The following is an 8,173-nucleotide window of genomic DNA, read 5'->3' as shown; positions in this document are numbered from 1 at the left end:
AACAAGCAAGGATGTCAGGAGCCAGGGGAGATTTGCTGTGTGACCCCAGCTCAGCTGCTGGGCCCTTGTAAGTCGCCACCTTTCCCCAGGGAGCAGTCCTGGGGCTACGTGTATATTAAAGGTCACCAGACTTCGACTCATGCCTGGGGTTCTCTAGTCCTTGCTTTTCCACCTATTGTCAACACATCCTTTAAAAAATTCAATAGGTAGGCCAGGCACCATGGCTCATGCCTGTAATCCTAGCTCTTTGGGAGGCTGAGGCCGGTAGATCACCTGAGGCGAGGAGTTCGAGGCCAGCCTGGCCAACATAGCAAAACCCCGTCTCTACTAAAAATATAAAAATTAGTCGGGCATGGTGGTGGGTGCCTATCATCTCAGCCACTTGGGAGGCTGAGGCAGAAGAATCACTTGAACCCAGGGGCCGGAGTTTGCAGTGAGCCAAGATTGCACTACTTCCCTCCAGCCTGGGCAAAACAGTGAAACTCTGTCTCAAAAAAAAAAAAAAAGTTCAATAGATTATTATGTGCAAGCTTATTGAAGATGTTAAGAAATTCATCTTCCTTATTCACTTTGCCTTCTCACTAATATGGCCCTCCGTGTTGGGGGTAAATGTGGTTTTTCTAGGGGTCTGTGATCTGGGAGCTGGAGCAGAGACAGACCCTGGGGTGTGGCCAGGATGAGACACTAGGCCCCTCTAGGCCTGTCTAAGGGGTTGGAATGTCAGAGTCTCCTGGCTCACGGCACCACTGATGGCTCCCTCACACACGCCACTTTGCCTCCTTTTCAATTCTCTGTCTGCATCCCCTGTAGCTCTACAGAGTCCCACCATCAGAAGCCTCTGCACACACAGGCATACCCTACTCCATTCACCCAGAACTACTTCGCTGAAGCTGAGAGACATGTAGGTGAGATAGACAAAGGCCGGTGACCCAGGAGCAGGGTCATTCACTCATCTGGGGCAGGGGAGTTCACGGCCCTCAGCAACCTCCATAAAGGCTGCCCCCCTGACCCCCTAGCCCCCACCTACACATGCACAGAGCTGGAAGGTCTGTCCCCACTGCCACTCCAGAGTGCGAGAAAGGGAGAGGCAGTGGGATGCGGACTCTCTGCTTTGCATGTTGGCTGAGCTAAGAGAGCCCATCTCCATCCCAGCCTTTGTCAGGGAGAGAAGGGGCTTCCCAGGGGCAGACGTTATCTATTCTCCACCAGGATACCCAGGGTCAAGACTTCTCCCACTTCTAAACTCAGGGCCCAGCACTCTCCCACCCAAACTTCCACTATTTTGTGACACATGAAGGTACTCGGCTGTGGCACTTCCTGGAGCCTGCATGGAGATGTTCAGTCCCGTGACATCTCTGCAAACCTTCTCCCTACAGCTGCATGAAGTTTGAGGTAGAGTAAGTAGTGGAAAGATGGGTTGAACCTTATTTCAGAGTGGGACCTTCATAGGTTTTTCTCATCTTGTTTTTAGAATTTTTTGTTGTTTGTGTAAAGACGGTATTACGGAAACATAAGGTTCAGTGAAGGAACTCAGGATGAAGGTGGGCTTACAGCACCACTGTCAACATCCCTCCATGTCCTGTCGCTTCTGGAAACCAAGCCCACACCAAGCATGGCACAAATAAAAGCCATCACCCTCTTATGAATAAAAAACCATATATATTGTGGTATATTAAATGTTCTGCATGTACTAACATGAGAGAAAATATTTTTTCTCTACATAGAGTGAATTTTTTCTTGGGGACTTCTTTTTCTCCAGGGAAGGCTAAAAAAGAATTTGTGACTGACCAAATCAGATACCTTCCCAAAGAAGACAGTGCCTTGGACAGTGGTGATGGTGGCTAGAGGCACCGGATGTCTTCGGCCAGTGCTGAAGGGGACTGACTGGGGATACAGCTTTCTTGGGGTGCAAGATTTGGGGATGTCGCAGGCCCCATTGCTCATTGTTGCACCGCACACTTTTCAAGGGCTGTTGATTTCTGATTTGCCTGTCTCTGTTGGGACAACCCTGGCTCTTGAGAGTGGCTTGTTGACTGCTGGCTGCATAGCTCAGTATTCTGCCGTGTTCTGAGTAGAAGAGGTGCCTGTGGTTGCAGGGAAACCCACAGACTGGGGCTTGAAACTTCTGTTTGTGCTGATTTACCTTCGAGGCATGGCGCGCATGGCAAAGTGACATTTTCTCGTCCAGCATTTGTCCAACTGCCGTCATGAGACCCTGAGCTTCAGCACTGCTGCTGTACACACATGATCTGTTTTTCACTGTTTTTTGGCTCTCAGCAGTGACTGGTGCTGGCTTGCTTTTTTTCTTTGAAAAAATCCACTGAAAAAATTGCTTGATGTTTCCTCCAAAGTGGCTTACTGAAGGAGGCTGTTTCTTTGATGGCAGTAGCTGGACGCCTTCATCCTGATGGGTGTCTTCTGTTTTCCTGACTGGGGTAAGTTGAGGAGTCCTCAATCCTTCAAGCCTTTCTTCATGTTTTTCTAAGTTGGGCTTCCTAGACTTCTCACTCTTGTGAATAGGGGGAAACATTGGCCTTTGGTTCTTGCATGAGCCTTGACAGTTTGGGTTTCTGGGCTCCTCGTGCACCAGTTTGCTCCTTCTGGCTGCCATAAGGTCATGTAGCTCCTGGGAAGCCCGCATGTTCCCAGCAGGCATGCTCTGGAGATGGCCCTGGGGCACTTGAGAAACCAAATTCTCTGAAGCGTGGGGCACAACAGATGCTTGCCCATCTGGAAGGAGCACAACAGCGGCACAAACTTGAGGCTGGGTCTCTGACTTTGTGGCCATTCCAGGCTCAAATTCATTAACAACCTCCTCCATAAGACACAGCTTTCTTGGATCTTGGGAGACAGACACTCTAGGGTGTAGAGAGCTTTTGCTGGTCCCTGGAGCCTCGAAACCATGCATATCCTCACTTGTGGCTTGGAGGTTTGCCAGCATACAGGTTTCCAAGGGGACTCTGCATTGTGGCACTGCCTCCCTTGTCTCTCCAGCCTTTGAAGATTGGGCTCCTAAGCTCCTGCTCTGCTGGGTGCTGCCTGTGAGGCTGTACGTGAGGGGCTTAGATGGCCACCTGCCCTCCTGTCCAGCTGGAGGAGGCTTCAAGGGCCCATGATCATTCCAAGATGGGATTCCTCGCGGTGCCCTCTGGAACTGCTTCCATGCAGGTGAGGAGGCCAGAAGACTCTCTGGCATGTGATCAGATGCTTTGGTCAGCACCTGCTTTCTCAGACTTGCCATTGGTGGCTTTCTAAGGAACATGTCCACCTCAACTTCTGAGCCAGCCCCAGATTCACAGGTGGCTGAGGAGGGACCAGCAAGCTGTGTAAGGGACAAGGATGAAACCTTTTCCAGTTTAAAGCACTGAATGGGCTTGAGGACCCTGAGGGGTAGACCCCACCTGTGTTTGGCCCAAAACCTCACAATATGGGCTCCCAACCCCTGCTGAGTACACGGCTCGAGGAAGGAAAGCACCTGGGCTGTGTTCACACAGGCTTTCCCACTTTTCGGGGCTGCTAGATTGCTGGTTTTCACATGGGTGTTGGACACGGGAAGAGCCTGGTTGACAGCAAGCCAGGATCGACGCACACGCACGGGGATCAAGCCCTCGTTGGTCTGGCCCAAGTTCCTGCCCATGTGGGCTTTCAGGATGTTTTCTATATGAGTCCTCTCTGTGCATCTTAATAAATCACTTCCCGAGTCACTCCTCAAGGGCTTCCTCAAGTTCCTTTCCGACTCCTCAGAAGTCACCCCCAGAACCTTCCGTGGGAAGCTTTTCATGTCCCTGGATAGATTTTGTGGGGTCTCACCCAGAATTTGCCCCAGATGTGGGCACGGGTCCCTCTCTAGCTGGAACTTCACCTTCTGTGCCTCCTTGCTGCTTTCACCTGTGGACATGGAGGACTGCCAGGGACTGGGTTTGCCCTTGGCCTGACTTGTCCCTGGTGATTCGTCCCGAAGCTGCATCAGATCCAGAGACTCTTGGATCCTTCCCAGGTTGCCCCAGTGTTGGATGATCCACTTTTTTATGTGTTGCTCCAGTTGTCTCCGGAGTTCAGGACTGACTGGAAAGTTCTCAGGCAGAATGGATGTCAAACTTTCCTGGGGAAGGTTAGGAGTGGAGACACTAAAGACGTCCTGAGATTTTTGGACCCTAGAGGGTAAAGCCAACCTACCTTCTAGTTGTCTCCTCAACAAAGGCCATTCAGGGTGCTGAGTTTCAGGTAGGGAGAGAGCTTGCACTTTATTCTGCGATGCAGGGCAAGCTACTCCAGTGTTCTTAATCAGGGATGGAAAAGCAGGAGATAGGACTGGGAAAGAAGATTGAAGATGGGCCTGAGCCTCGGCCTGAGCCATAGGTGTGGGCCGGAATTGGGGTGTGGATGAAATAAAGGGTTGGCACTCGGGCCCCAGATGGGACGGGGGCTGGGCCTGGAAAAGCAGTGGGGACATTGTAGTCTCCCTTTGAATTGGGCAGACATTGGACATTTCATTGAACAAGAAAGGAGGAGACTGTAAAGTATAAGACCTGTCAGTTACCCAGGCGTTAGCCACCAGGGACTCGCTGTGCAGAGAGGGGAGGCCCCAGAAAAGCTGGCTATAATTCTTCCAAAAACTTTCCTGCCAGAGCCTAGGATCTGAGAGCTTCTGAGGTCCGGGCAGCTGTTTCGAGTTCTCTCCCATGTTCCAGAAGGGTTTTGGGTTTGTGGTGTCCTGCTCAGCATCCAATGATTTAGCCAAATTCCGCAAAGAATTTAAGTGCTTTTCTGGGGTCATTCGATCTGTAAATGATCCAACATTTTCTTTTTCTTCCCAAATGTTGACCTTGGCTGTTTCTGTGACTTGTATCCCCACGGCATTCTGGCCATCAGAGCTGAGCAAAAACAGGCTACCAGCTTCCATCTGGTAGGTCTCTGGTGGGTGGCGGGAAAGATGATCTTGCTGGACTGATGAGTTAAAGGCGCACGAGGTTCTGGCAGTCTCCTGCCACCGGGAGGAGGCAGAAACATGACTGTTTGAGCCACCAAGGCCTGAGATGGCTGGGACAGAAGCCACCAAATCCTCATGTGGAGACAAGCTTTGAGGGACGGTGCCCAGTGGAAGTGCCACTGAGTCACAGTGAGATGGAGTTATCAGTGTGGAGTCCCGCAGGGGAGGAGCAGTGAAGCCTTTTGGAGGAGGCGGAGAGCAGGCCAGAGGATCAGGGGTGTGTGGTGGGTGAGGGAAAAGTGCAGGTGGCTCGGGTGAGGGGTGTTCTAGGGGAAGGGAAGGTTCTGGTGGCTGGGAGGCACTTAGGGAGGAGACTGAGGTGGTCATTGGGCCTGGTGATGGGGTGGAGGCCAGATCCTGAGGATGCTTGGCTTGAGGATCCGGGGAAGCTAACGGGGAGAGAATGGGAGCAGCATCTTCCATAGGCTCATGAGAGGACTGGGAGGCTCCATCAGGTGCTCTTTCGCCCACTTCACCTGGGGGGTCTGGACCGGAGAGCTGACCAAAGTCACCTTTGTCAAGGTGTGGCCCCAGGAGGCTGCAGGAGACAGGAGACACGAGCTGCAGCCAGGAGCCGGTGGGGCCGGAGGGCAGAGTGGGTGCTCGGGCCACAGCCCCTCCACCACCCCACACCCTGATTGCCCAGTTCTCCTGCTACCCCTCGCCCCAGGGTTTTACTCCCATCCTCTGTACCCCTGGTCTCCCCATCCCAGGTCAGCTCCAGGCTGCCTGTGGCCCTGGGGTCACGTCCCAGCCCTGGTAGGAAGGATGCAGGGAAGGGGAAGTGCCTCACCTCTGCAGTTGTGAAAGCAGGTCCGAAGTCTCCTGCAGGCCTCTCGGGCACTCTCTACCAGCTGGAAATCAGGAGACTGGGTTAGGGCAGTGAGGGAGGGGCCTGGGTTCTCACAGGAGGCTGAGTGGCTGTTTCTTTAGGGAGGACCATGGGGAATTAGACCCTGGGCCCCACCCATCTGTGTCCAAAGCCACATGACCCCGACGTTAATAGCAATGCATGGAGGACAGGGCTTTTTCATTCACAAAGGGCTTCCACACACGGACCCCCCACCCCCACAGTCCTCACAACTGCCCTGTGGGGAGAAAGGACTGAGGTGGTCTCAAAGAGGAATCAGCCTTAGCAGAGTTGGACTGCTGTTCCCAGGGAGCGGGAGGCCCCCTCACCCCCCTCCGCATCCAGGCAGGCATTGGTCTCCCCAGGACACACACACTGCCCCCTGCTGGGTAACGCCCAGTCCCTGGCCCACCATGGCTTCATTCCCGCATGGAATCTGAGAAGGACCCGGGGTTCTGATTTCCTTCCTAGGAGCCCCCACCTCAGGCTTCTTCAACTGACTTCTTCAGAGTCAGTTCCCTCCGGGACAGATGAGATCAAATTAACTCTAGTGTGCTCTGGCAGAGCCTTACCTCTCAGACTGTGGTTTTTCATCCTGCCTCTGGGCCTCCGCCTCCGCCCTACTGGACACTGGGAGACACGATGACGTACGGAGACAAGATGACGCGGAGAGACAAGATGACAATGGGAGACAAGAAAGGGTGAGAAGCTAGGACCGGCTCTCCCTCTCTGCCCCAGCCCAGCCGCAGCATGCTGCACTCAGGAACCGCATGGCTCTCTCTGTCTTGCTCAGGGAGCTCTGTGTGCTTCCTCCCACTCTTGTTTAAATGGATGATAAACTGCTTTTCTTCTTAGAAAAACAGCAAGAGGGGGCTGGGCGTGGTGGCTCACGCCTATAATCCAAGCACTTTGGGAGGCCAAGGTGGGTTGATCACCTGAGGTCAGGAGTTTGAGACCAGCCTGGCCATGGTGAAACCCCGTGTCTACTAAAAATACAAAAATTAGGCAGGCATGGTGGTGGGCGCCTGTAATCCCCAGCTATTCAGGACTCTAAGACAGGAGAATCGCTTGAACTCAGGAAGCAGAGGTTGCAGTGAGCCGATATCACTCCATTTCACTGCAACCTGCACCACAGAGCGAGACTCCATCTCAAAAAATAAAATAAAATAAAATAAAATAAAATAAAATAAAATAAAATAAAATAAAATAAAATAAAATGAAAATAACACACACAAATAAAATAAAAATACACACACACACACACACACACACACACACAGAGGGATTTTCAATATGAGGTCCACCACGGACACCTTCAGTCCCTGTTCCTCTGCTCCAGGAACACCCAAGTTCAGGCCCGCAGGCACTGCTGAGCTATCAGGTAGGATTCTGCTTCCCAGGAGACCAGAGGAGACACCAGGCCCTGGTGGGAGGCCCTCAGGGGCCCAGCACAGGCCCCAGATCACCCCACACAGGGGAGGCTGGGCCCTGAGCCACCTGCACCAGAAAGGGGCTGATGAGCCAGGGCTCAGGGCCTGGTCTCGGACAGAGACCTCCCCAGTCTCATGACTGGTACTGGTGCTGAGTCCACTGGTTTGATTTTGCCTTGATGCCTCCTGTGCTCCCCCACAGATGGACTGAGAGCTTGGGATGGAAATCCCAGTACACTATCTACCCCTACCAACCCCTGGCTGCCCTGCCTCTCCCTGGAAGGATGATGTTCTGGTCTCTTCTGAGACTTCCCATCATAGAAGGCTCTCCACTGGATTTGGAAAAGTGGAACTAATAATAAAAAGAAAGGAGAGAATCAAGCTCTGTGGGTTGGGACTGAGGGTTCCTTACCTTTCTCTTCCCAGGCGATGGTGAGGGTGGGTCATCACAACGGAAGTAAGATAAGTAGGGGAGTAATAGGAAGAAGAACCCCAGGGCAAACACCAAAGTGAGGAAGATATCCAACACCCATGGTGTGGAACTGGGGGCGTTTAGCGATGAGGCACTAAGTAATTTTAAAGGAAAGGGAAGATTCTCCATGTGAATAGGCGCGTTGCTTTCAAGCAACTGAGCTCTGGGCATCCCCGTGGGGACTAGGGACTGGGGCCCAGGCCTGCGTCACAGAGGTGGGGCCTTGATGTCACAAAGGGCTCCTTTGTTGGGGAGGCGCATAGGGAGGGGGAGGTGCAGCAGGAGGGGGAGGAGGAGGGAGAGGGGCAGGGGAGGGGGAGACTGAAGCACAGCCCCTCCCCACCCCCCAAGCTGGGGATCCCTCCACCATCCCACCTTCTAGATCCCTCCTTCCCACTAAGTTTTGTCAGTGATAGCCAATTTTCTATTCT

The 8,173-nt window shown here is 52.9% G+C and overlaps 1 protein-coding gene across 2 annotated transcripts; it reads right to left on the bottom strand.

The window, feature by feature from the left end:
- Positions 1-1,639: 1,639 nt before the first annotated feature.
- Positions 1,640-7,935, bottom strand: SPATA31A1 (SPATA31 subfamily A member 1). 2 transcript variants are annotated; one of them, XM_047423731.1, is made up of 5 exons: positions 7,684-7,935; positions 6,413-6,507; positions 5,784-5,844; positions 4,926-5,528; positions 1,671-4,469 (listed from the first exon to the last, which is right to left on the bottom strand). In XM_047423731.1, exons 1-5 carry the CDS (start codon positions 7,911-7,913, stop codon positions 1,793-1,795), a joined length of 3,666 nt encoding a protein of 1,221 aa, XP_047279687.1. In that variant the 5' UTR covers positions 7,914-7,935; the 3' UTR covers positions 1,671-1,792. The 2 variants fall into 2 exon arrangements, with proteins under 2 accessions (NP_001078921.3, XP_047279687.1); NM_001085452.4 differs by having other exon boundaries at positions 1,640-5,528; positions 6,413-6,470; positions 7,683-7,933.
- Between the last annotated feature and the right edge of the window lie 238 nt (positions 7,936-8,173).

Source organism: Homo sapiens, chromosome 9, assembly GCF_000001405.40.
Source record: "Homo sapiens chromosome 9, GRCh38.p14 Primary Assembly".
In the NCBI taxonomy this organism is placed as follows: domain Eukaryota; kingdom Metazoa; phylum Chordata; class Mammalia; order Primates; family Hominidae; genus Homo; species Homo sapiens.
The sequence above is the reverse complement of the archived record's forward strand: the minus strand, read 5'-3'. Positions and strand labels throughout refer to the sequence as shown.